At 46.8% G+C, this 27745-nt stretch overlaps 1 long non-coding RNA gene across 1 annotated transcript, besides 3 other annotated features; it reads right to left on the reverse strand.

Moving 5' to 3' along the window:
- Nucleotides 1-8581: 8581 nt before the first annotated feature.
- Nucleotides 8582-27539, reverse strand: LOC105374843 (uncharacterized). Its single transcript, XR_940318.3, has 3 exons — nucleotides 27432-27539; nucleotides 26892-27102; nucleotides 8582-12950 (listed from the first exon to the last, which is right to left on the reverse strand). It is a non-coding gene; the product is annotated as an uncharacterized LOC105374843 (long non-coding RNA).
- Nucleotides 23339-23852: a transcriptional cis regulatory region, noted in NCBI's record as "candidate enhancer chr2.3134 targeted for multiplex CRISPR interference". NCBI's record gives its function as "positively regulates ST3GAL5 gene expression with high confidence in K562 cells {active_cell/tissue: K562}" and the evidence as "EXISTENCE:mutant phenotype evidence [ECO:0000015][PMID:30612741]".
- Nucleotides 23593-23782: an enhancer, noted in NCBI's record as "active region_16148". NCBI's record gives its function as "activates an Ori minimal core promoter by ATAC-STARR-seq in GM12878 lymphoblastoid cells {active_cell/tissue: GM12878}" and the evidence as "EXISTENCE:reporter gene assay evidence [ECO:0000049][PMID:35858748]".
- Nucleotides 23823-24002: an enhancer, noted in NCBI's record as "active region_16149". NCBI's record gives its function as "activates an Ori minimal core promoter by ATAC-STARR-seq in GM12878 lymphoblastoid cells {active_cell/tissue: GM12878}" and the evidence as "EXISTENCE:reporter gene assay evidence [ECO:0000049][PMID:35858748]".
- Nucleotides 27540-27745: the final 206 nt, after the last annotated feature.

Here is a 27745-nt window from a genome sequence, read left to right on the forward strand (position 1 = left end):
GTTTTATTAACTAAGTTCATATTTTCTGTGAGTGTTCTACCTCATTAAATTCTGCTGATTTTTATACTCCATCCCTCTACTTTCTTTGAGTTTATTTTGCTGCCTTTTCATTCTAGACTATTGATTTCATGCTCTTTCATTTAGTGTTAGCCCTACTTGTTTCTAATAAACTTATCCTGAGTCCCACTTGGGCCATGTCCCACAAGCCCCTAAAACAGGGTTTCTGATGGTCACTTCTTTCTAGTTTACGGTTTCCTCTTTAACTTAAGAGTAATGTTAACTTAAGAGTAATGTTAGAGCAGGAGTTCCTAACCCACAGGCCGCAGACGGGAGCAGTCTGTGGCCTGTTAGGAACTGGGCCACACAGCAGGAGGCAAGCAGCCTGAGAATGAGCATTACCACCTGAGCTCCACCTACTGTCAAATCAGCAGCAGCATTAGATTCTCATAGGAGTGCGAACCCTATTGTGAACTGCACATGCGAGGGATCCAGGTTGTATGCTCCTTATGAGAATCTAATGCCTGATGATCTGAGGTAGAACAGTTTCATCCTGAAACCAGCCCTCTCACTGCATATATGGAAAAATTGTCTTCCTTGAAACTGGTCCCTGGTGCCAAAAATGTTGGGGACTGCTGCATTAGAGGTTGCTTTAGAACTTCCAGTTGGGGGAAAATACATACATACATACATACATATATATATATATATATATATATATATATATATATATGTATATGTTTGTTATCTTGTATGTTTCATTTGGCTTTTTAATTTTTTTTTCTTTTTTTGAGACCAGGTCATGAGACTGGCTAATTTTTGTATTTTTGGTAGAGATGGGGTTTTTCCATGTTGCTCAGGCTGGTCTTGAACTCCTGGCTTTGAGTTATCCACCCACCTCAGCCTCCCAAAGTGCTGGGATTACAGGCATGAGCTACCATGCCTGGCTGCTGCTTTTTAATTTTTAATTTTATTGTGCAGTGGCCAGACAAGAAGGTTTGTATAACTTATGCTTTTTGAAATGTATTGGAATTCTCCTTGTGGTCAAATACATGACTCATTTTGTAAAAGGACTGTAGATGCTTGAAAGAATGGGTACTTTCTATTTATCCAGTATAATATTCTATTGATATATATATACATTCAATAGATTTCAGAATTCTATTCTGAGGTACACTGAAGCATATGATTAGTATATCTTTTTGGTGGACTACAACTTTTATCAATATGAACTCTCCCTGTTGGCCTTGATGCTTTTTATTTCAAATTGTTGTTTTTGGTGTTAATATTGATACGTCTGTTTTTCTAGCAATTTACCTAGTGTTCGCTGTTTATTATGTAATAAACAACAATTTACCTGTCCTTGAAGCAATTACATAATATTTGATACGCATTTAGGTAGCATATATAGTTCTATACCTTTGTTTTCAAATATCCTGTATAATTTCATTTTAGATATAACTTTTGGCAACAGCAGTGGCTCATTTTTTAAATTTTCTTTACCTAAACTGAAACTCTGTGTCTTGTAATAGGCTAATTTAACCTATTCATGAGTACTGTTATTACATATGCGATTAGATTTATTCCTGTCATGTTATTTTCTGTCTTCTATTTATCATACTTTCTTATTTTCTTTTACTTTTTAATCTTTTCTTCAGGTGATCGTTGTTATTCCATTGTTTTTCCTTTTACGGATTGGCAGTTATATATCCTATTTCTATTCCTCTTGTGGTTATAATTAAATTTTGATGACATGTACTTGAACATAGTTTTCTAAAATGTTTTGAAGTAATCTAGACTATTAACAAACTACAGCCTATGGGCCAAGTTGAAACCAACCAAATAGTCCCATAGACTGTTCTTTTGGATAAACATAGAAATTGACTTTTCTGATCTTAAAGCTTGAAGTTTACATTTGCTTTATCTGAGTTCCTTCCTCAGGAAAAGACCTTCAGGCCTCTCAAGAAAGTAGCAAAGAACTGAAACTCCCCAGATCACCACATTCAGACAATGACATGCCTGACCCCTCATTCATCATGATTGCTTCCTTGCCCCTCCCTGGTTCCTGTTTCTTTACACATCATTACATTTCTTCCCTGCTCTATAAACCCCAGGTTTTAGTTTGTCAGAGAGACGGATTTGAGACTGAGCTCCCACCTCCTTGGCACCCAATTAAAGCCTTCTTCCTTGGCAGTGCTTGTTGTCTCAGTGACTGGCTTTCTGTGCTGTGAGCAGCAGGACCTAGACTGAACCCCTGGTATTTTGGTAACAAAATCCCACCTATTCCACATTTTTGCACAGCCTAGAAGCTAAGAATTTTTTTTTGTATTTGTATTTATTTATTATTGAGACAGGGTCTCACTCTGTCACCCAGGCTAGAGTGCAATGGCACAATCAAGGCTTACGGTAGCCTTGACCTCTGATGCTCAAGAGATCCTCCCACCTCAGCCCCCTGAGTAGCTGGGACTATAGGTACACACCACCATGCCCAGTTAATTTTTGTTTTTGGTTTTTGTTTATTTTTAGGGGGTAGAGACAGTGTTTTGCTATGTTACCCAGGCTGGTCTTGAACTCCTGAGCTCAAGTGATCCTCCCACTTTGTTCTTCCAAAGTGCTGGAATTCCAGGCATGAACCATTGCACTCGGCCTTTATATTTTTAAGTGGTTAAAAAAAATCAAAAGACAAATAACATTTTATGACACATGAAACGTATATAGCATTCAGATTTCAGTGTCCATAAGCAAGGTTTCATTGGAACACAGCCACACTTACTTGTTTCTATATTGTCTTTAGATATATATATAGTTGTTTATATATGTAGCTGCTTTTGTGCTATCATGGGAGAGTTGAGTGGTTGAGACAAAGACTGTATGGCCCACGAAGGCTAAGATATTTGTAATCTGGCCCTTTACTGAATAAGTTTGCTGATCCTTGGTCTAGATGTCTATCCCCACTCCCCATACAAGAGTTACTACAGAGATTAATTCTTTCCAGCCAAGACTCACTCCATATCATTTCTATATTGTATTCGTTTGGGATTTGAGTTCCAGAAACAGAAAATAATCCAAATGTTCATCAACAGGTGAATGGATAAGCAAATTATGTACATCAAGCACAATGGAATGCTACTTTTCAGTAAGAAAAGAATGAACTATTGATACATACAACAACATGAGTAAGTCTGAAAAGCATATGGCTGACTGAAAGAAGCTAAATGTGGAAGGTTACATACTATATTGTAACATTAATGTGACATTCTAGAGAAGGCGAAATTACAGTGACAGAGAGCAGATCAGCGGTTTCCAGGGGCGAGGTGTGAGGGAGAGGTGATTGGCTGCAGAAGAGCATGAGGGAAAGTTTTGGGGTGATGGAAATATGTTATGTCATGGCTCTGGTGGTGGTTGCACAACTGTATCACAACTTTGTTAAAACTCATCCAGAAAAACAAAATTGGTGAATTTCATTGTATGTAAACTATAACTCGATAAAACTAAATTTAAAAACCTGTCCTGGGTAAAACAAATCTTTAATGAAGAACGGGAAGAATCTATGACAGGAAGGGGCTTGAGAGAACACTCTGAGGTGATGGCAATTCTTTGTGTCTTCATGGGGGTTTGCATTGTGCAGGTTTGATGCATTTGACAAAATTCAGCTAACACATATGCAAGATTGGTGCATTTCATTGTATATAAATTTTACATCAAAGAGAATATATCAAATATTGAATTCTAGTTAGTGATCTGTATACTTGAATATTTAGGGGGAAATGTACTGAAGTCACAATTTACTTTGAAATCCATCAAAAATAAGATGGATTAGTGAATGGCTAGATCAATAGATATGTGATAAAGCAAGTAAAGTGTTAGTGGTAAATGTCATGCTAATGGTGGGTGTTCTCTATTAAATTAAAATAAAATCTTTGTTCTGCCTTGTAAGAAGGTTGTGTTGACATTGAATGGTTGTATGCACTCAGCCTGGCAGCTGGATCCAGTCTCTTTAACTATGTCATCTATGAAGAAATAGTGTTGAAACATTTTTGTACAGAGTACATACCTTACTGTGCTCATATTCCCTTCTTTAAATGTCAAGGAAAAGACATGACAGGACCCACCCCACGTACTTGCCTAGTTTGAGCCAGCAGCTCACCTGGACCTTCCTGCTTTCTGACTTGCAGCTGTCTTTGTTGATGATCTATAGAGGCCCCTCCTCTTTAAGCCTGAGGGGTACAAGAGTCTAAGTGGTTCCCTGGGACCTGGTTTACTGACTGCTGGAACCCTGGAGATGGCATGCTGGCAATGAGAGAATCTTACGGAACTCAACTTGGTACCAATGCCCTAGTGAAAAAGTAGTGGAGTCCTTATATATCAGCATTGGAAGGGCACTTAGACACCATTTTACAGATGAGGAAACTGAGGTCCAGATAGGGAAAATGGCTTGCCCTAGTCCACATAGCTTCATGACAGCAGGTTCTACACCCCAGCTCTCCCCACTCTCAGCCCTATTTGGGCTGCAGCCAACCTGACGGTTTTTTGAGGGCACTGGTGGGAGGATCCCTGGGGTTTGTGAGGTGGTAACAGCCACAGTGTGAGTGAGATCTGGATCCCACCTCTGGCCCTGTGACCTTGGACAAGTTATTTAATCTCTAATACTGGGTTTCTTCAGGAGTAATATGAGAAGAACAATATCTTTTTTGTCAGGGTATTGTGAGGTTTCACTGGAACATCATCTGTGGAGCCATTTATGCAATGCCTAGACCTGGTGGGTGCTCACTCTGTGGGCACCACTGTCATTGGTGTGCTCATGAGCGCACTGACCTGAGATTCTGAGAAACCAGATGTTGGCTCTGGTGCTACCCTCACCAGCTGTGACTCTACTCCTCACAAGAATCTTCAAGGTCGTAGTTTTATCCGGGTTTTACAAATAAGGAAACTGATATGCGTGTCCAACCTCAAATCTTCAAATCTGGATCAAACGCAAATATTGTTTCTAGTCATTCTCTTGGCAGGAATGGTCTCAGCACAATCACCAGTAGGCAAAGTTTATTTTAGTGCTTCCTTCTTCTCTTTCCAATCTTCTGTCCTTCTCTCCCCACCAAGTGAGTGGGAGGAAGAGAAAGTTGGGGACCGTTTGATGTTCCTGGGTGTTAGTAACACTCGAGGGAGCCACACTTCCCAGGGGCCCTCAGGGCAATCTAGAAAGTTCACCACTCTTCCAGCACTGGCAGACAAATCCAGCCAGTGCCTAGAAAAGGTTCATTTGTGACATCCACAAGGCAGGGGCACTCCACACACACTTCGCTGACCATTCGCATCTGCATCATTTGGGAGCTTGTCAAAACTGACAATTCTGCCTCTGCCCCACCCAGACCCACTGAATCAGAGTCTCTGGGGATGGGGCCCAAGAATATGAGTTTTAGGAAGCTCTGTAGGGGATGCTTAGGCACAGTAAAGTTTGAAAAGTACTATTCCAAGGGACCAGTAAGAGGACATAGGAGTGGACCAGTCTCTGTAATTTTGCCATTTTCCAAAAAGAGACCTCTAATCTGTGCTGAAGTTCATTTCCAAGGACTGAGTAGGGCTGAACAGGGTAAATCTCATTTTAAAATAAGTGTTCCCTCATTCCTCTCACAGCCCTCTTCCAACATGTTGTTTTCACCTTCAACAGAATGCCTAAGTGAAAAGGAGGGATGCAGTGTGTTTGGCAGCGTGGAAAAGATCAGAGGGGTGTGAAACGAATTCATATCTGGCATGACCGAGCTCTGTTGGGAGGACCTTGGCAGGGCTTGAAGCAGCCTCAGAAGAGAGGTGGACCCCAGCCAGTGCTTAAAACAAGAAGCCTGTCAGCTGCTGCCATTTTCCTGTGTTATAGGAAGACCACAGACCCAAGTCAGACAGGCCCGGTGTCTAATCCCTGGGACCTTGGATGGTGACTGGGCTCTCTCTGCCAAGGGGATTATGTGTGTTCGAGCACCTGGCACCTAGGAAGCATTCAGCATAGGCTGAAGTAGCCCCTCCTTTGACCCTTGTTGGGAAGGGAAGGCAGTGCCAGACCCATGCCAAGCAGCCTTTCTGGTAGCTGGTCTTTTGGTCACACAGGGAACCCCCAGAAGCCTCGCTTCAAGCCCTCTCCATAGAAAACCCACACAGCCAGGGTTTGCTGTGGCTCTTCTGCCCTGTTGAATGTGTCTCCGTGACCATGTACCCATCTGGAAGACTAAGTGTGTGGCCACCTTCACTAGCAAAGATCACCCTCGCTCCGCCAGGTTCTCTCCTTCCCACTCTCTCTGCACCTCTGCCCTTTGGTCCTTTTCAAGCACTAGCCTCTGTGCCCAGTCTTTGGTGTGGATGTTGGGGCCTTTTTAGCCATTTCTGTCTGCATGACTGGTTAGTGGGCAGGGGGAGTGACGAGTGGGCTGGCAGAAAGTTCCTTTGGATTTCATTAGCCCTCGTGGTGATCAGCATTGAGGTAATGCATCTGCAACATCACGTGTTCAACCTATGAAGAGTAAACTTCCCGCTGGCGTTTCTACTATACCTTGTTATTCAAAAATGGTATATGTCTAGGCCAGGTGCAGTGGCTCACACCTGTAATCCCAGCACTTTGGGAGGCCGAGGTTGGTGGATCACCAGAGGTCAGGAGTTTGAGACAAGCCTCACCAACATGGTGAAATCCTATCTCTACAAAAAAAATTCTGTAAAACTACAAAAATTAGCCGGGCATGGTGGCCAGGCACCAGTAGTCCCAGCTACTTGGGAGGCTGAGGCAGGAGAATTGCCTGAACCTGGGAGGCGGAGGTTGCCGTGAGCCGAGATCATGCCACTGCTCTCTAGCCTGAGCGACAGAGTGAGACTCCGTCTCAAAACCAAAACAAAAACAAAATGGTATCTATCTCCTCCCTAGCCTTGAGTTGCATTGTGAGAGCCTCAGTAGTTCCCACACTCCAGGAAAGGGGGTACAGAAGAGGGAACACCTGCCTCTCCATCATGTTGTTATTGATTGATTAATGTTTCACCTTGGGCATCCTCAAAGCTACCTGAAGAATCTCACTCTGGGTGTTTCTTCTTTTCCTTTTACTTGTACTGATAGGGACCCAGGTTCTCAAATAAGGATTCTATTACGAACACAAGAGCTAAGGGAATGGTGCATGAGGATCCATCCACAACCATCGCCATGTGTCCCATGGCTGAGGCACAGGGCTTGGGGGTAACCTGACCCCACAGGAGGCTATAGAATTAGCCATGCATGTATTCAACAACAACTACCCTAGTGTGCTTTGATCTAAAAACTCATCATGTGTTATCAAAATGCATAGTGGTACAACCCTCAAAGCCAATTCCAGGCCAGATGAGGGCTTTCAGGAGGGAGATAGAGTTAGAGGTGTAAAAGATTAGAGAAGTTTCTACCAACATCGAAGACCCACTCCTCACCCGCTGCTGTCCTCACCTCTGTTTTATTTGCATCTTTCTTTTTTCTTTCTTTCTTTTTCTTTTCTTTTTTTTCCGAGATGGAGTCTCACTCTGTCACCCAGGCTGGAGTGCAGTGGCATGATCTTGGCTCACCGCAACCTCCGCCTCCTAGGTTCAAGTGATTCTCCTGCCTCAGCCTCCCGAGTAGCTGGGATTACATGCGCACACCACCATGGCTGGCTAATTTTTGTATTTGTAGTAGAGACGGGGTTTCACCATGTTGGTCAGGCTGGTCTCAACCTCCTGACCTCGTGATCCGCCTATCTCGGCCTCCCAAAGTGCTGGGATTACAGGCGTGAGCCACCGTGCCCGGCCGCATCTTTCTATTTCAGCTCCTACCTCTCATCACTCCCCATTCAGATGACCCCCAAACTCCATCACCAGAGGCAGAAACTACAGAGTTCTACATGCAGCTGGAAATGCCTCCTGGAGTTTTTGCATCTGGCAGTGACTATCTCACCTCTTAACCAAACTTAATCACTGGCAGGGAGAACCTCACTTCAAATCTGGCCCCCTGCCCAGCTGGGTTCAGTGCCAGGGTGTGGCTGGCACAAGATTAAATTCTGTAATGTATTAGCAGCAGAGTTGCATTTAATAAAAGCCAAGAGCTTCTGAATACACATGTTGGAAGAAAAAAGAAGCAAGATGGAGCTTAGTAGCCAAGCAAAAGCCAGGCATGGGGGCATGAGGTGGGTGATGTTTCTCTTAGGACCAGGGGTCCAAGGATCTAAGGGTCATGGAGAAATCTTTGTTAGGGCTAGAAGACAATAGCAATCAGTTAATTCATTCCAGAAACATTCATTGGCACTGTTCTAGACACTATGACTGAAAAGATGGCACCAGAGATGACTGAATATGAGCCAAGGGTTTTTTGTTTGTTTATTTTTCTGAAAATTATCCCTCAGAAAAGACTAATTCCATGTAGTCTTATATTAGAAACCTTAGTCTCCTCTCTCCCTCCCTCACTTCCTCCCTCTATTCTTCCCTTCCTTTCTTCTTTCCTCCCTTCCTTCCTTCCCCTATTTCCTCTTCCTTCCTTTTTTCCTTCCTTCCCCTCTTTCCTCTTCCTTCTTTCCTTCCTTCTCTTTCTCATTCTTTCCTCTTTCTCTTTTCCTCTCTTTTATTTTCTTTTTTCTCTTTCTGCATTTCTCTTTCACCTTTCCTCCCTCCACTTTTTTTAATTCATCTTTTTAAGTAATGACAGCTGTCTGAGATGCCGTCACCTGAAATGACCTCAGTCAATGCTAGTTTGTATGTTTATAAAGGTCACCTGATGACAGTGGTGAAAAAATCGGCAAAGAAATTTGAACACAGATTTAGTAAGTCTCCCTAGGGATATGACCTCACAATGAAAAGAGTTGCATGTTTTTGTAAATAAGGCTTTTTAAAATCATTTTAAAATGCAACTTGAAGATTATAAATATATATCTCCTGGGTAAATGGGAGGAAAACTGTCCAAATGTTATTTGAATGGGTAATTGTGGTTTGGGTTATAATTCCCAATGTCAGCATCAGATGCAGGTTCAGAAAGTGGTGCCTCTCAAACAAGTTAGGAGGAAGTGAAATTATGTAATCTGAGAAACTGAGTTCAAGACTCAAAAAGTGTCCTAGTGAAGCTGTTAACATCCCCTTTCCAGACTGTGGTCCCAGCTACCTGGGAGGCTAAGGTGGGTGGATCACCTGAGCTCGGGTGTTCAAGTGGTAGCTGTTCTCCCTCCTGCCCTCATACCTCAGCCCTAGGGTGGGGTCAATAACCTCTTCAGTACTGATTGCTGATTCCAAACCATTTGCTCTTTCCTTCCTAAACAACCACTGGGTTGAATCTCCCTTCGAATCTCATCAAACTATACCACTGACCCTGTCCTTCTTTTTTTTTTTTCTGAGACCAAGTCTCACTCTTGTCCCCCAGGCTGGAGTGCAGTGGCGCAATCTTGGCTCACTGCAACCTCTGCCTCCTGGGTTCAAGCAATTCTCCTGCCTCAGCCTCCTGAGTAGCTGGGATTACAGGCACCCGCCACCACGCCTGGCTAATTTTTGTATTTTTAGTAGAGATGGGGTTTCACCATGTTGGCCAGGCTGGTCTCGAACTCCTACTTCAGGTGATCTGCCCGCCTCGGCCTCCAAAGTGCTGGGATTACAGGCGTGAGCCACCGTGCCCAGCCGACCGCCTCCTTCTTGAAGGTACCTGCTGACCCCAGGTCACTTCTCATCTCGATCCTTGAGGACTTTGAGTTCATTCTCAGTCTCTCCAGCACTGTATTTATCTCACACTGATTTCAATATCCACACAGAAGATCCTTGTGTACCTCTCAGTTCTGTGTCCTACTGTCCACCTGGTCACCTCCACCCTAACCTCTCACTCCCACGGTCGCACCCTAGAACTGTCATTTTCTCTGGCTGCAGTTGTCTGTCATCTTGGTTTCTTATTTTTTTTTTTTTTTTTGAGAAGGAGTCTTGCTCTGTCGTCCAGGCTGGAGTGCAGTGGCGCGATCTTGGCCCACTGCAAGCTCCGCCTCCCGGGTTCACACCATTCTCCTGCCTCAGCCTCCTGAGTAGCTGGGACTACAGGCGTGAGCCACCACGCCCAGCCTAGTCATCTCAGTTTCTATGTCCCACTCTCCAACCACTGTGCCCTGGGTTTCCAGCTCACTCTTTCTCTTATCCAGACTTCAATAATCCTTCTACCAGCTGAGACTTAGAATCTATGACCCAACCACCTCTTCATGAATCATTAGCCCCTTAATTGCCTCATTTCACTCCTTAGCCAATGTAGATTCACAGTTGATCATGACAGAACTTCCTTGCCCACATTCCAACTCCCACTATTGGATTTGCCTTGGTGAACCTCACCATGTCTGACCTGGAATAACAAGATGGGAAGCAGAACAACAACCTAGTTCTCTTCCTTTATCTCTCATCCTGCTTTAGCCATTGCTCCCTGCTCTGCTCACCTGTAGACAAAACTGTTTTTTTTTTTTTTGAGACAAGATTTCACTCTCACTCAGGCTATAGTGCAGTGGCATAATCACAGCTCATCGCAGCCTCGACCTCACAGGCTCAAGTGATCCTTCCACCTCAGCTTCCCAAGTAGCTGGATCCACAGGTGTCCATCACCACACCTAGTTAATTTTTTTATTTTTATTTTTTTGTAGAGACAGGGTCTCACTTTGTTGCCCAGGCTGGATAATTCTTTTTTTTTTTTTTCCCCTGAGACAGGGCCTCACTCTGGTTTCCTAGGCTGGAGTATAGTGATGCAATCAGGACTCACTGCAGCCTCCACCTCCCAGGCTCAGGTGATCCGTCCACCTCCGACTCCCCAGTAGGTGGGACCACAGGCACAGGCCACCACACCTGGCTAATTTTTTGTATTTTCAGTAGAAATTGAGTTTTGCCATATTGTCCAGAGTGGTCTCAAACTCCTGGACTCAAGCAATCCACCCACCTCGGCCTCCCAAAGTGTTGGGATCACAGACGTGAGCCACTGTCCCCAGCCTAAAGAACTTTAAGAGTGTTCCAGTTACTGTCTCCAATTCCCTTCCTCAGAGGTTTGACGTGAGCTGTTTCAGTGGAGCCAGGTGACAAAAGTCAAAGAAATTTCTTGCTTTAACTCCTACCCACTAACTTTTATTACCTGGCTCCACCGAAACAGCTCACGTCAAGACCTTGAAGGACCTCCAGCTGCCAAATGCAATGGGCTGTTCTCAGACCTCATTTTACTTGGCCCATGAGCAGCAGTCTTTGACAGAGTAGCTCCCTCCATCCTCTTGACACTCACTCCAGGGGGTCTCCCCTGCCTCACTGGCCGCTCCCCACTTCTCTCTGCCCGTGAACATTGGAGGGTCCCAAGGTCCAGGCCTGGGTGCTTCCTCTGTCATTCCTTCCTGACTTCACCCTCTCTCTAGGACTGAAGGACTCCTAAAGCTAGATCTCCAGCCCAGACCTTTACCCCAAACTCCAGACTTCTATACCCAACTTAAAACTCGACCTTTCTACTTGGATGTCTAATGGGCAATTCAAACTTTCGTTGTTTTTTTTTTAAGACAAGGTCTTGCTCTAATGCCCAGGCTGGAGTGCAGCGGTGTGATCACAGCTCACTGCAGCCAAAACCTCCTGAACTCAGCCCCCCACCCAAGTCGCTGGGACTACAGGCACATGCCGCCATGCCCGGCTAATTTTTTAATTTTTCTGTAGGGATGGAGTCTCGCTATGTTAGCCGGGCTGGTCTCCAACTCCTGGGCTCAAACAGTCCTCCCACCTGGGCCTCCCAAAGTGCTGGGATTACAAGTGTGAGCCACCCAGCCTGGCTGCACCCAAACGACATCTCCTATCCACCTAATGTGTTCCTCTTGTTTTTTGTTTTGTTTTGTTTTGAGACGGAGTCTTGCTCTGCCACCCAGGCTGGAGTGCAGTGGCACGATCTTGGCTTGCTGCAACCTCCGCCTGCCGGGTTCAAGCGATTCTCCTGCCTCAGCCTCCTGAGTAGCTGGGACTACAGATGCCCACCACCATGCCTGGCTATTTTTTGTATTTTTAGTAGAGACGGGGTTTCACCACGTTGGCCAGGCTGGTCTCCAACTCTTGACCTCAAGTGATCCACCTGCCTCGGCCTCCCAAAGTGCCGGGATTACAGACGTGAGCCACTACACCCGGCCCTCTTGGTCTTCTAACTCTCAAATAAGGGCAACTCCAGATGCTCAGACAAAAACCCTGGGGGTCATTTTTGATTGCTCTCTTCCTCTCATGCCCTTCATGGATCGGTTAGTAAATCACGTTGGCATACCTTCAGAACACATCCAGAGCTCAGTGTTTCTTACCACTGCTTCTAATATGGCCCAAACCACCCACAGTCCTCTCCCACGTCGCTGCAGCAGCCTCCTAACTGGTTTCCCTGCCTCTGCCCTCACCTGCACCATCCACTCTCCACCAAGCAGCTGGAGTAAACCTTTTAAAAACTCAAGTCAAATCATTCTACTCCTCTATTCAAAACCCTCCTGTGGCTTTTCATCTCATGCAAAGTAAAACCCCAAATCCTTAGCGATGGCCATGACGCGTGACGTTGTCTGGTCCCCAGCACCCCTCTGACCGGGTCCGCTCTTTCCCCACGCTCACTCCACTTGAGCTCTGCTGGTCCCGGCTCTTCCTTGGACGCACTGAGCATATTCATTCCTGCTTTGGGGTCCATGCACTTTGCTGCTCCCTTTTCCTAGGAGAGTTGTGCCCACATAGTCACAGGGCTTGTGTCCTCACTTTACATATCACCTTGTCAAAGTGGCCTTCTCAGATCACCCTGTACAAAAGCCCAGACCTACCCCTACCCCTGTCTTCCTGTCCGCTCTGAGTCCAGCTTCACTCCTTCTTTACAGCACACATCACCATTTGACATACTCAACAACGACGTTTCCACAGTTCTCGCCTTCTCCATGGCCCCTGCATGTCATGTCAACTCTGTAGACTCGTCTGTTTTGTTCACTGCTGCATCCTAGAGCCTAGAACAGAGACGGGGCACATAGTAAGAGCTCAATAAATGTCACCGAGTGAATGAATGGATGACAGAGGGCAATTGTCAGCAATGGAAAACTAATTGCCTCCATTTATTGGGCAGATTCTTCTGCGTAGAGTTTTTTATTTGCATTTTTTTTTTTGAGATGGAGTTTCACTCTTGTTGCCCAGGTTGGAGTACAATGGTGCAATCTCAGCTCACCACAACCTCCACCTCCCAGGTTCAAGTGATTCTCCTGCCTCAGCCTCCCGAGTAGCTGAGATTACAGGCAAGCGCCACCACACCCAGCTAATTTTGTATTTTTAGTAAAGATGGGGTTTCTCCACCTTGGTCAGGCTGGTTTTATCTGCATTTTACGAGAATACCTTGTGAAGGAGATACAACCGTTCCCATTCACAGTTAACACTGAGGCAGTTAACACATGCCATCAGCCTCTGCCCCCTCTCCTGGGGCAGCCCGTTCCCCCCACCCCGAGGGCAGGCCTCACTGGGAGAGCTCTCCCAGGTTCTCTCCCATTTCATTAAATCTTATATCATCTCTAAGAAGGAGGGGCCTGAATCCCCACTTTACAGTTGAGGTCAACCAAGACTTCTCTAATGGCAAACCAGAACTTCAAATATGGCCATCTCGGGCTAGCAGTGGGATGGAAGACCAGAGAGGTGTGAAGTGACACCCGAGGGAGAATAGTATCTAGTGGAGCCAGCACAGCCAAACACAAGGAAAAAAATTAAAAAATTAGCCGGGCATGGCAGCATGTGCCTATAGTCCCAGCTACTTGGGTAGGGGGCTGAGTCCGGGAGATTGTGGCTGCAGTGAGCTGTGAGTGTGCCAAACACAAGGAACTGTGTTCCAGGAGCCTCTGGCTGTCATCTCTCTTAGTCCTGGGGGGCATCCAGCTTGATCTTTTAGTCATCATTCCAGGGGGCGTTGAAGGGTGTGCCTTTAATCTGGAATGCTGGAAAGATTCCCTGTCCTTACAAACGCAAAAGTCGGCCGGGCGCCGTGGCTCACGCCTGTAACCCCAGCGCTTTGGGAGGCCGAGGCGGGTGGATCACGAGGTCAGGAGATCGAGACCATCCTGGCTAACACGGTGAAACCCAGTCTCTACTAAAGTACAAAAAATAAGCCGGGCGTGGTGGTGCGTGCCTGTAGTCCCAGCTACTCGGGAGGCTGAGGTAGGAGAATCGCTTGAACCTGGGAGGTGGAGGTTGCAGTGAGCCAAGATCGATCCACTGCACTCCAGCCTGGGCTACAGAGCAAGACTCCATTTCAAAAACAAACAAAGGCAAAAGCCATGTCTACATAGAGCTGGGTTTTTGGGAACTGCCACGTGGGAGAGTGGAGGGGAGATTGGGCAAGGCTTCCGCAGTGAGCCTTGGTTTCTGGTGGGTGCCTGCAGCTTCTCCCAGGAGCCTCTCTTGCCTAGGATGCAGCATCCCCAAGCAGAGGAAACAGAGCTGCTTACAAGCTGGGCTGAGTGCTAATAAATTCAAATTGTATGGAAATGCAGAAACACTTAAATATTAAAAAAAAAAGCACTTACCAGAAATGCTTTAGATGCAGAGAGAACACATGCAAATGTGTTGAGCTTGTATATCTCACCTTCCAGATAGGAAGCAATTCTATTCTCCCAAGGCCTAGCTATCTCAACCCTACAAGAAGAAGACCCCACCAGAAAGGCCTACAGAAGCCCAGACTTAAGGATGATCACAGTCTCTAAGTTTAAAAACCAGGACATGCCATCAATGAATGAATTAAAAAAAGGTGATTTTTTTTTTTTTTTTGAGATGGAGTCTCGTCTGTTGCCCGGGCTGGAGTGCAGTGGTGCGATCTCAGCTTACTGCAAGCTCCACCTCCTGGGTTCACGCCATTCTCCTGTCTCAGCCTCCCGAGTGGCTGGGACTACAGGTGCCCACCACCATGTCCGGCTAATTTTTTTGTATTTTTAGTAGAAACGGGGTTTCACCATGTTAGTGAGGATGGTCTTGATCTCCTGACTTCGTGATCTGCCTGCCTCAGCCTCCCAAAGTGCTGGGATTACAGGCATGAGCCACCGCGCCTGGCGAGTGATATGTGTTTATAATACAATACTATGCAGCCTTTAAAAAGAAGGAAATCCTGTCATTTGTGACAACAGGGGTGAACCTGGAGGACATGACGTTAAGTGAAATAAGCCAGTAACAGAGAAACAGATACTGCATGTTCTCACTTCTTTGTGGAATCTAAAAAAATAATTTAATAGAAATTAGGAGTAGAATAGTGGCATGGGGTAGGATGGTATTGGGGAGACATTAGTCAAAGGACACAAAAGTTCAGTTAGGAGGAACAAGTTCAAGAGATCTGTTGTATAGTGTGGTGACCGTAGTTAATAGTAATGTATAGTATGTCCGAAAATTGCCAAGACAGTAGATGCTAAATGTTCTTATCATAACAATAAGTAGGTGAGGTGGTAAATATATTAATTAGCTTCATTTAACCATTCCACAATATACACTTATATCAAAACTTCATGTTGGAAAGCATAAATATCATTTGTCATTTGTCAATTAAAAAAAGAATCAGACACATAGTCTCACAAATGCTGTTTCTCTGGTTTGCAATTGTATTCATGTTGAAAATCCAGCAAATGCTGCTGGCTGTATACGCTTCTTGCCCTAATGCTGGACTGAAAAGCAGGAAATTCTGTGAGAGTTAGACCACCATGGATAGACTGGGATGTATGGTCACCGAAGGTGTGATGCTGAATAAGAAGAAGTTTGGTCAATCTGGGGGCTGAATTTCAAGGCCCAGCGCGGTGCGGTGGGGAGAACAGAGGCTTCACGTCAGATAGCCCTCCGTTGGCATCTGATACTGTCCCCTCCTACTGAGGACCCAGGAGAATCGTTGGCAAGAGGATTGGTGATAATGACATAAGGGGCCTCAGCCCAAGGCCTAGCTCATCAGGCACTTAATGAATGGTATTAATGTCACCTCTAACTGCCGTTCTCCATTCCTGTGGCCTGCTGGGACTTGTCACCAAAGCTGTCTGGGTAGGGGTGCTCTGTGCATGAGGAGAAGCCTCCTCTTTCCTGTTCACCTGACCCTGTTCTGCTATCCTGGGCATCAGTTAACTTCACACTAAGTGCTGGAATCAAGGGGCATATTCCTCTGCAGGCATTCCAGTTAGACTCTGTCCCTGGCAAATAGGTTTCAACTCACTTTTCACCTCCAAACAATTGTTTAATACTGGTTTGGACCGGGCGTGGTGGCTCACGCCTTTAATCCCAGCACTTTGGGAGGCCGAGGTGGATGGATCACCTGAGTTCAGGAGTTCGCGACCGGCCTGACTAACATGGTGAAACCGGTCTCTGTCTCTACTAAATACAAAAAAAATTAGCCAGGCGTGGTGGTGCATGCCTGTAATCTGAGCTACTTGGGAGGCTGAGACAGGGGAATAGCTTGTACCTGGGAGGCAGAGGTTGCAGTGAGCTGAGATAGTGCCATCGCACTCCAGACTGGGCAACAAGAGCGAAACTCCATCTCAAAAAAAAAATATATATATATATGTATATATATATGTATTTGAAGTGCCCTGTTGAGAACTCTGGGCTTCTAGAAAACAATGCTGCAATTGATTGGTAATGTCGGCCATGGCCTAGGAGAAGAGAGCAGGGCACGCAAGCTCCATGGTCGAATTCCAGACCCAGGGCTCCCTCCCAGGCAGGCTGCTCACATTGGGCTCCCCAGAAGGTGACGCCAGGACAAGGATTTGTGTGCAAGTAGTTTTTAAAGAAGGGATACCAGGAGTGGGGAGTGGGACAAGGAAGGGATAGAAGGGAAGAGACAGAAGCCTATACGGGGGTGCTAATAAGTGGGTTCCCACTAAGTTACAGAGGCCCACCTGGGGGCACCTCTGGGAGAGGACAGGGAATGTTCCTCAGAGTTTTCCACCTGAGGGGAGAGGGAGGGACAATTTATCCTGCCATGCTCCCCAGCCTGCCAGCCCACCCCACAGTGAGCCCTGAGTTGGAGGTCCTGGTGGCTGTGGGAGACACCCTTGTGCACTCCTGGACAAGGTGCCAATTCCAGAAGTCCCAGTGCCCTGCCTTATCCAGGAATGGCCAGCTCTGCACTGACAGTGGCACTGAACCCAAAGTTCACAAGGGGAGATTCTGGAGTTGGCCAAACCTGGGTTCAAATCCTGGCTCCAGCTGTGTGACTTTGGCAAGTTACTGGATTTCTCAGCATCCCCTAACAACCTAGAGGCAACAATTTGGGTTGTTGCGAGGGTCCCCTGATACTCCCCTCTGAGATCTTCCCTGACACTCAGCTAACTCAGCATCTGCCTCCCCCACCCCTGTCTTGCATCTGCCTGGCTCTGCACACACATATAAAACATAAATTTCCCAGAGACCCAGCCTCAATCTACTTGAGAAGATCTGGGAAGAGAGTCTCGAGCTGCCACAGGGGACATAAAAACAGGCAAATTGCCTCCAGACACAACGCCAGCCTGGAGATCCCCAACAGGCAGGAGCTGACGGTCCACTGCCGGGCAGAGGGAGGATGGTTGACAGGCCTTTTATGCTCATTTTTAATGACCTTTTTAAAAGTTCTGTTTTTGCTTTTGTTTTATAACATCCATCAGAAATAATAATGTTGTGCAAGTATACAATTGATGCAGAAGCAGATACACATATTAGGGAGTGTGCTCAAAAATATTTTATGAGTGCATAACCAAAAAACTTTGGAGACAACTGCAATCGATCCTCCTTTCTTGGCCTGGATAACGCATCTGGCCTTGCTTGCTCTTAACTCTCCCCACACCCTGCTCTGCTTGTCTCACTCTCTTCTCATAAATTATGTCTTGCGAAAATTCAGTCCCTGGCCTCTAAAAGTTTAGAAAGGAATCTGTTACATGTTACTTGTATGAACACCATGAGAAGCCAAATCCTGCCCCGTCCCAGCCTTGGATTATTTTTCCTGGGCCTCTCTCCCATCCCCACCTCCTGACCCATCTCCCACCTGTGCTCCAGCCAGACCACACCTTGGCAATCCTCCAGGCAGAGCCTCAGTGTCCCACCCCAGGCATTTCCACAAGGTGTGTCTTCTCCCAGCCCTGCAGGTCTTAATCGCCTCTGGCTCCAAAGCCCAACACAGACGCCGCATCTACCACAAAGCTTCTCTGGATCCTGAAACCACCAGGAGACACATCCTCTAGTGCTTCCTGGAAACTGTACCTGACATGTGCCCAGTGAGACCTGACACATGCTGCTTTGGGTCAGGACATGCTACATAACTTGTGGGGCTCAGTGCAGAATGAAACCGTGGGCACCCTGTTTAAAAAGGGAGAAAAAGGTGTTGCTGAAAGTGCTAAAATGTAAAGCTTTCTCCTTTCCTCCACGGTCTCTCTCTTTCGGCATGTCATCCTGTTTTTTGTTCTCTATTGACGTCCGTGCTCCATCAGGCACGAGGATACCAATATCAGTGCAGACCCTCACAGGCACCTGGGCCCCCACCCTCTACCCCGGAGCCCATAGACCACTGGCTGCCCTGATCCCCTCCCACTATAGCTGCTGGGTCAGCATGTTGAGTTATAGCTGCTGAGTCAGTGTGCTGGGCCGGGCATCTCCCTATTCCATGGGCCTGCTGCCCCAACCCATGGGGGACGGTAGACCCCCAGGGATATCACCATTTCTGCGCTGGGATGCTGGATCAGGGGTGAGCAAGAGGTCTACCCCTGCTGATTGACCCACCAAGCATAGTGTTAAGCTGCCCCCATGCCTTCCACACCTTAAAGAACTCACAGTCTTGGGTAGTATTTCTCAAACTCTGAGTACCATCTTCCCATATTTCGCTACAGGTACTATCATTTACTTAATACTTTTATTTTTTAGAAGGGGTCTCACTCTGTCGCCCAGGCTAGCGTGCAATAGTGCCATCATAGCTCACTGCAGCCTCAACCTCCAGGGCTCAGGCGATCCTCCCACCTCAGCCTCCAGAGTAGCTGGGACTACAGGCATGTGCCACCAGGTCTGGCTAATTATTAAACATTTTTTAGAGACAAGAACTTGCTTTGTTGCGCAGGCTGGCCTCAAACTCCTGGCTTCAAACAATCCTCCTGACTCAGCCTCCCAAAGTGCTGAGATGACAGGCATGAGCCACTGTGCCCAGCAAATACTTAATATTTTTCTTTAGAGTAACTAATTTTTTTACCTGCAGTAAGTTTGCTCCTAAGGGAGTCTATGTACCCCTGTGCAATTATCTTAATAGATGGAATGTGATAATCACATATTTTTCTAATGCACATCAAAATCAATACTAAACTATTAAAATGTTTAAAATGCCTGTTCACATATCACCAAACGGCATCTCGTGGGCCAGCCCTGGAATGAGCTGCCTTCAGGGAAACACTGATTATATTGAGGAGGTTTGACTTACACAATGTGCAAGGATAATTATAACATAAAGCAGGGCTGGTCATGTTTGAGACCAGTGTGAGGCCCTCACTTAAAAGGCCTCACGTTTGGGGTTTAATGCTCTGAGTTGATTATCTTGAATGTTTTTTACCCTGAGATGGAGTTTCGCTCTTGTTGCCCAGGCTAGAGGGGAATGGCAAAGTCTCGGCTCACTGCAACCTCCGCCTCCCAGGTACAAGCAATTCTCCTGTCTCAGACTCCCAAGTAGCTCAGATTACAAGCACCTGCCACCATGCCCGGCTATTTTTGTATTTTTAGTAGAGACAGTGTTTCACCATGTTGGCTAGGCTGGTCTCAAATTCCTGACCTCAGGTTATCTACCCGCCTTGGCCCCCCACAGTGCTGGGATTACAGGCGTGAGCCACTGTGCCTGGCTTATCTTGAAATTTTTAATGATTTTCTCTTTGAGTTTGTGTTTTGTGAGTCGATGAGAGGATGAGGCGTGTGCTGGTGGTTTGGGCCTTGGCTTACGTGCCATCATGCCTTCTGCACCCTTCCAGGATGGGGTCTAGAGCATCACAGTCAGTAATGAGCCAAAGCTGGGTGACTAAATGAACAAATCAACTAATGAAAACATGGACACCCAGGAGCCTGAGCTTCTCCTTTTAAAATTTTGTTAAGTAGGACTGTTACTGATTAACCAGTTCACTCAAGATTAATGTATACACATTTTAGAAAAAATGATTAAAGAAATTAATTCCTTTAAAATATGTAGGCGGTGGCTCACACCTATAATCCCAGTACTTTGTGAGGCCGAGGTGAGTGGATCACTTGAGGTCAGGGGTTCTAGGCCAGCCTGGCCAACATGGTGTTTGTGTCTACTACAAATACAAAAATTAGCTGGGCGTGGTGGCGCATGCCTGTAATCCCAGCTACTCGGGAGGCTAAGGCAGGAGAATCTCTTGAACCTGGGAGGTGAAGGTTGCAGTGAGCTGAGATCGCGCCACTGCACTCCAGCCTGGGCGACAGAGCGAGGCTTTTTCTGAAAATAAATAAATAAATAATAAAATAAAAGATATAGAAGCTTGTTTTGGAATAACCTGCCTGCCCACTTTTTTGGGGCCTTTTTCTGACCAGGAAGTTCAGGCATGTGACCTGGAGACAAGCAAATGTACCACGTGATGTGAAGTGAACTCTCAGCCAGCCTTGGGCTTCCTTAGCCTGGGGACTGCATCCTCCAGGTGGTCTGAGATGACACTCTGTGACATGCATTTCTCAGGGTTTACCTTGTAGGGCTATGTGACTAGCAACTAGCAAGTCATACCCTTGGGAGGCCCTGGGTGAATACATGGCCAAATATTTATCATCAAAAGTTGCCAGCCCTTAGAGAAATGGCCTCCGTCTTCATCTTTCAATCAAATGTCACTTTATCAAACAACAGAGCCACAACATTTTTAAAAGGACAAAGACTGAAACGTCACCCATGACAAACATTTTGGAAACAAGATTTTCTAAAATGGAGAAAATAGAGGAACACATAGTTCGTGGTCATAGGCTGGCCACACCACCTGCCACTTCATTAGTCTTTGCCTGGGGACTTTTTGTTTCCTGATAATCATTAATATATATTTTTATGGGTTGTTTACTGGCTACATTTAATAGATGACAAAAAGGACAGTCTGAATATGTTGTTTTCCATCAACTGGAACATACCACTCACGTTTTCCGTATTTTGTATGAGAATCTTCATTCTGAAGTTTTGCAGTAAGCATTTTGAGTGAATGGACACATTTTAGGACTGACCACATAAATCAAGAGATGGATGTACATTCTTATTTCATTTTATTTTTTAGTTTTTAATTTTTTTTAGACAGAGTCTTACTCTGCCATTCAGGCTGGAGTGCGGTGGCAAGATCTCAGCTCACTGCAACCTCTGCCTCCCAGGTTCAAGCAATTCTCCTGCTTCAGCCTCCCGAGTAGCTGGAATTACAGGTGCGCACCACCACACCTGGCTAACTTTTTTGTATTTTTAGTAGAGACAGGGTTTCACCATGTTGGCCAGGCTGGTCTCAAACTCCTGACCTCAAATGATCCACCTGCCTCGGCCTCCCAAAGTGCTGGGATTACAGGTGTGAGCCACCATGCCCGGCCAGCATTCTTATTTTAGAAGTCAAAAATTCACACATCATTTTGCTTTCCAGATACACTCGGTGTTTCCAGTTCTTAGTACATTCTTCCAGATTTCGTCTGTGTTTCTGTGCAAGTGTGTGGCCAAGTGTGCGCATACCCACACTGTGCTGTCTGTTACTCACTGTGCCTCTTTCACTTGACTCTACCTGGGACATCTTTTCTCGTCAGTTCATAAAAATCTGTCTGATGAGAGGACTTTTTAAGATGACTCATCAGGCCAGGCGCAGTGGCTCATGCCTGTAATCCCAGCACTTTGGGAGTCTGAGGCAGGTGGATCACCTGAGGTCAGGAGTTCGAGACCAACCTGGCCAACATGGCGAAACCCCGTCTCTACTAAAAATACAAAAATTAGCTGCGTATGGTGTCAGGCACCTGTAATCCCAGCTACTTGGGAGGGTGAGGTAGGAGAATTGCTTGAACCTGGGAGGCGCAGGTTGCAGTGAGCTGAGATCGTGCCATTGCACTCCAGCCTAGGCAACAAAAGTGAGACTCCATCTCAAAAAAAAAAAAAAAAGACGACTCATCAGACACATTTTTGGGTCAGGCTCAAATGAAGTTCATGATTGCAAGGGTATTCTAGACTGACCCAAAGATTTTCTCCCCAACACCAAAAACTGGAAAACAGCCTGACAGTCATTAATTCCTGAGGGAACAGCTGACTCTTCTGAGACCATCTACTCTCTGCCCACAACCTCTCCTGCATACCCCAGCTGTGGCTCTGCTATTCATCCCAAATGTCCTGGCCAGGCCCACCCACTTGGCCAAAAAGTTGACTTCCCAGCCAGACCTGGTTGATCAATTGGCCACTATCCTTACAGGAAAAGTCTGAGTTATGAGAAAAAAAAAACTAATTTCTTCCAAAATATAAAAAGAAAACTGCATGATCAAAGTGAATAAATGTTTAATTAAATGCCTGCAAAGTGGAACACTATGTCAGCTTCCTTAATTGATACATTCAGTATTTTTAAAAATTTCATTACATTTGCAAAACAAATTGAAAGTAGCATTTCCTCCTTTGCAAGAATTCTTGAGGAGTGTGTGGTGATTGCCAAGAAATAACAAGTTGCTCATGTACTATTATTTTAAAAAGAAAAATTATCAAAACCATTTAAAAATATTTTGCAATATTAAAAATACACATGATCCTGATCTGATCACTATACATTAAATGTATCAAATCATCACTATGTATTCCATAAATATGTGCAATTATTATGTGTCAATTAAAAATAAACAAATAAATAATACACATATGTGTGCATATATGTGTATATACATACATATACTCAGTGTGGGCTGTTTGATGTGTTATTGGAACAAGGTCTTTAAAAGTAAGCTGAGGGGCACTTTGGGAGGCTGAGGCAGGCGGATCACAAGGTCAGGCAATCGAGACCATCCTGGCTAACATGGTGAAACCCCCTCTCTACTAAAAATACAAAAAATTAGCCGGGCGTGGTGGTACGCGCCTGTAGTCCCAGCTACTCGTGAGGCTGAGCTAGGAGAATCACTTGAACCCAGGAGGCGCAGGTTGCAGTGAGCCGAGATCATGCCACTGCACTCTAGCCTGGGTGACAGAGCAAGACTCCATCTCAAAAAAAATAAAAAAAAATTAAAAAATTAAAAAAGAAGCTGAGGGGCTGGGCGTGGTGGCTCACGCCTGTAATTACAGCACTTTGGGAGGCCATGGTAGATTAATCAGTTGATGTCAGTAGTTCCAGACCAGCCTGACAAACATGGTGAAACCCTATCTCTACTAAAAATACAAAAATTAGCTGGGCATGGTGGAGGGCACCTGTAATCCCAGATATTGGGAAGCTAAGGCAGGAAAATCACTTGAACCCAGGAGGCAGAGGTTGCAGTGAGCCCAGATCGCGCCACTGCACTCCATCCTGCGTGACAGAGCAAGACTCCATCTCAAAAAAAAAAAGTAAGCTGAGGGCTCAAGGGCCACACAGGTCTTCAAGAGGCCCAGCCCGGGATCCGCACACCCGAGAACCCTGTGCTGAGTCAGGATCCCCTTCTGTGGACACAAGATAGGAGTGGTGCTGTCAAGAGGAAGTTCTAAAAATAGACCCTAACATGTAGGGCAGAATATTAGTGGTTCTGAGAACTAGCAGAATCAGAGGCAGAAATGAGACATGTGACCAAAATGAAACCCCACAGCCCAAAGGGTATCTCCCTGGCTCCCCTGGGCCCTCTAGAAAAACTAGCAAAAAACTAGAAAAGCTAGTAAAACTCTTATCATTGGAGCCAGTGGCATTATTGGCCTCTATCCCCACTAAAATGTGAGTAACTTCAAAAGAAAATGCTCTTTTTTTCTTCCTCCAAAAACTTAAAGTGTAACATGTATAAAGAGAATGCATCTTTTTTTTTTTTTTTTTAAGACAGAGTCTTGCTCTGTTGCCCAGACTAGCATGCAGTGGCACAATCACAGCTCACTGCAGCCTCGACCTCCTGGGCTCAATCGATCCTCCCACCTCAGCCTCCTGAGTAGCTGGGACTACTTCCCTAGGGGTCCTAAGGAACCCACCCAGGGGTGTGCTGGGCAGTGTGTAACCACAGCTCTCTGAAAACAAAAGCCCTTAAATCCCTGATGGGTAGAATTGCCAGTTCTCATGGTGTCCCTACTCCCACCATGGTGACCAACATGAAGGTGTGGACGTGGAACTGTGAGGAGAGGAGCATGGTCAGCTTTTTTGAGCTGGTATGAGCTAGCTTCAGCACATCACTGCATCCCCCAGATGTGAAATCTGAGGAGTAAATATCCAGGAATTCAGAGAAATCCTGGGAAATTGGGCACGTCTTTCCTTTCTCAATAGTTCCCCAAAAGATGAGAGGAGCATCCCTGGCTGCAAATCAGGTAAGTTCCTCTCAGGGTGCAGCTGACCCTGATTCCCACCTTGAGTCCCTTTTGCAATGGGGAGGAAGTGAGAGCAGTGGCTCTACCCAAACCAAAGCTTGGGGGTGTCGCACCTTGGGTGGGACTGGCTCCACAGTGTACCAGCTGTGTGACCCCGGCTGAGTCTCCCTGACCTCCGGTTGTTTCTCTGCAGAATGAGTGGGCACAAGGAGGATGAAGAGGGCTCGGGGCACCGCCTGGCATGGATGATGCCATCTGTCAAGGAGAGTCACTGGTAGTGTTTGAGTCCTTAAGCGCACTCACTCCAGGGGAAATGGTGAAGTGGATGGCCATTGTCCTGGGAATCTTTGGGACTGTACATGACGATCATTGGGGCTCTTTTGTTTTTCTAGCCCATCAATGACTGACTTCAGACCCAGCAGAATAAGAAAGCCTTAAACTAGTAGCTTTATGTTCTTTTTCTGGATCTTCCTCTAAATTCTGCAAAGTAAGTGGCAGTGATCCATTTTATAGATGAAGAAACTAAGGCCCAGAGAGGCAATATCATGTCTGGCCTTGCTTCTCTGTGACTTATTTGACTTCTTCCTTTGGAGACCCTGAGAGCCAGGCAAACGTTCTCTAGGACAGACAGGCAGGAAGGTCAGAGGTGGGGGTGGAGGCACTGCTTCCACCCCACCCCCTGCAGAAGAGGCAGGAGTCAGCTGGGACAGAAGGGGCAGACCTGTGAGAGGCCTAATTACGCATCCTCTTTCCTGCCCTCCCTGTGGCATCTTTCCTGTTCCTTGGGAAACACTCTAAGATGGACATAGGTGGGCAGACAGTTTATTGTGTGCCCTGGAGTCAGGACACACAAGGAGAAGGAGGGAGTGGCGGTGGGAGAAACTGGGCTGTGATACAGTCCCAACAAAGACCTTGGCCAAGCCCTGGAGGAGCGCTGGAGCTGGGCTGGACGCTGACAGCTGCCCTGAGTTGGGACAAGAGTACCTGGCCTTTATGCCTTTATATTGACCAGTCATTGGATTTGGGCTGAATTGCTCCCAAAGAGGGCTTAGCTGAGGGACAACCACTGGGGTGCAGGCCCTTCAGTCCTGGAGGAGTCTGGGTAGCACCATGCCTAGTCCAAGTGGAACCGGTGTCTCCACGAGAGGCAATTTCCCTCTGAGTCTTGGAGGCCACATTCCTGAGAGAGAGAGTGTCATGACCCCACTCACTTGTCTGACCCAAGCTACCCAGGTCAAGGGGCACTGGCCAACCCATGGATTGACCAGTGTTTAGGTGAGGCATGCAAGAGTCTCCAAGCTAAATTAATTAATAAATTTAGAGACAAGGTCTCACTCTGTCACCCCGGCTGAGTCTTGTCATTCCTACAGGTGAATTGGTAGAGGAGGGACACAACCTGTTGGCTTCAGTGTGGGAAAAAGGTACAAAGAGGGCATGTGTCACCTGTCTGCCTCCCTCTCCCAGGTGAGCAGCTCCTGAGGAACGCATGCCTGGATTCGGGATCTCATATAGTGTCTGCCCTGGGAAGGCCCCCAACAGCTCCACCCTTTCCTGAAGAAGAGGAAGGAGGTGGGTATCTTTGGAGGCCCCAGTCCCATCTCATAGCACAGTACACAGGGGCATCTGCAGGACTAGAGGGACGGCTCCCCTGCCTCGCACCCCCTCCTCCCCACCCCATGAGAGAGGTGGGGCTCAAGAACCCCCACACAATGTCTTCATTGACACTTGTGGCCAAGTCAGCTTCTGGGTGCCATGGAAACCTCTCTTGGGAGCCCTGAGGGAAAGCAACAGCCCAGCCCTCCCACACTAAGCTCATTGTCCCCTGAGCAGTGAGAGCAGCCCCTTATCAGCCCCTTCCCAGGCCTGCAGATCCTGGCTTCCACCCCATCAGCAACATGAGCTTTCCTCTTGCCGGCCAGGCCTGGGGAGCTGGAGGGGTCTCATCAGTCACAGAATCCACCACCTGGGATCCTGTACTCCTTGGCCCCTTCCTTATTCCCCATGAAATCAAAGGCAGCCCCAGTAGTGAGGCAAGAGAGCTCATTTTTTAGTTGCACTAAAAATTTTTTTAGTGCTCATTTTTTAGCCCATTTTTTAGTTGTGCTGAGCCTTGAGAGTGGAGGGGGCACCAGGCAGAGAGAGGCCCCTCCCTCTGTTTGGGGCATACTTATGCCCTGAGCCAGCCACAGTGTCCCTCAGGCCTGCAGGAAGAAGGCCAGGCTCTGGAATAAATCCATCTGGGCCACCCCATGCCTGGTTCTGGCTTCAGGCTCCACTCATTCTTTTCTCCTCCCCCAAGTCCTGGAAACTTCCCCAGAAGTCCCTCCCCTGCCAGTCCCTCCCTTCCTTCTACCTCCCATGTCTCCTTGGGCCAAGGCCCATCTGCACAGATCCTGGCAGAATAAAGTCAGAGAATGTCAGGGCCAGAAGAGGCCTGAGAAATCAGAGCCCCGCATCTCTCTGCCATTCCATCCCCACTTACCATTTTATAGAGGAGAAGCTGAAGCTGGGTATGAGGAGGGACTTGCCCAAGATCACAAGCCAGGGCCTTCCCCTCCATTGGGCACCATTTCACCGGCCTCATGGGCTGCTTCTCCCTGCTCTGACCCAGAACTTGATCATCACAAACCAGGAGTATGCCAGGTCTTTGGAAGCAGTAAAACCTATAGAGATTGGAAGGCCCCGACCCAACCCTACCCAAAGTAGGGGTGTCAGCAACTAGAAAGAAGAAGGGCTCAGGATTACAGCACCTCCTCCCTTCAGCTGTCTGTCACCCAGGTGTCCCCATAACGACTCCCTCCACAGATACCCAGATGGCCAACAAGGGCAGCTCCCTTGAAACAAATGTCCCCCGAACTCCTCAGCCCCAGGAGGGAGGGGCCGTTGGGATGGGCAGCCCAGAGAGCCTGGGCTTTGCACCCAGAGCTAAGCGAGCTCAAATCCCAACTGGGCCACCTGGGACAGGTTATGCAGCCTCCCTATCACCCTCTGTAGAAGGAGAATCACAAAAAATTCTACCCACCTTATAGGGTTGCTGTAAGGATTTTGCAAGATATTGGATAGAAAGTTTCACACAACACTGGGCACAGAGAACACAGAGTGAACAGATGGTGTTGCTGTTCTCATCTATGACGACCTTTTACCCTTAGAACTCTGGGCACCAAGTTAGGGGTGGGGTGCCGGGTGGGGAGGAGTGCCAGGGAGCCAAGGGGAGGCCCTTAAGTGACGCTCAGAGAGGTCCTGACCTTCCCCAAAGCAGGAGTCCTTGGCCCAAGGGAGAATGAGTTTCGGACAGCCATGTGGCCCCCAGTAAGGGGCCCCCTAACATTCCATTTG

This window comes from Homo sapiens, chromosome 2 (assembly GCF_000001405.40).
Source record: "Homo sapiens chromosome 2, GRCh38.p14 Primary Assembly".
Taxonomy (NCBI): Eukaryota; Metazoa; Chordata; class Mammalia; order Primates; family Hominidae; genus Homo; species Homo sapiens.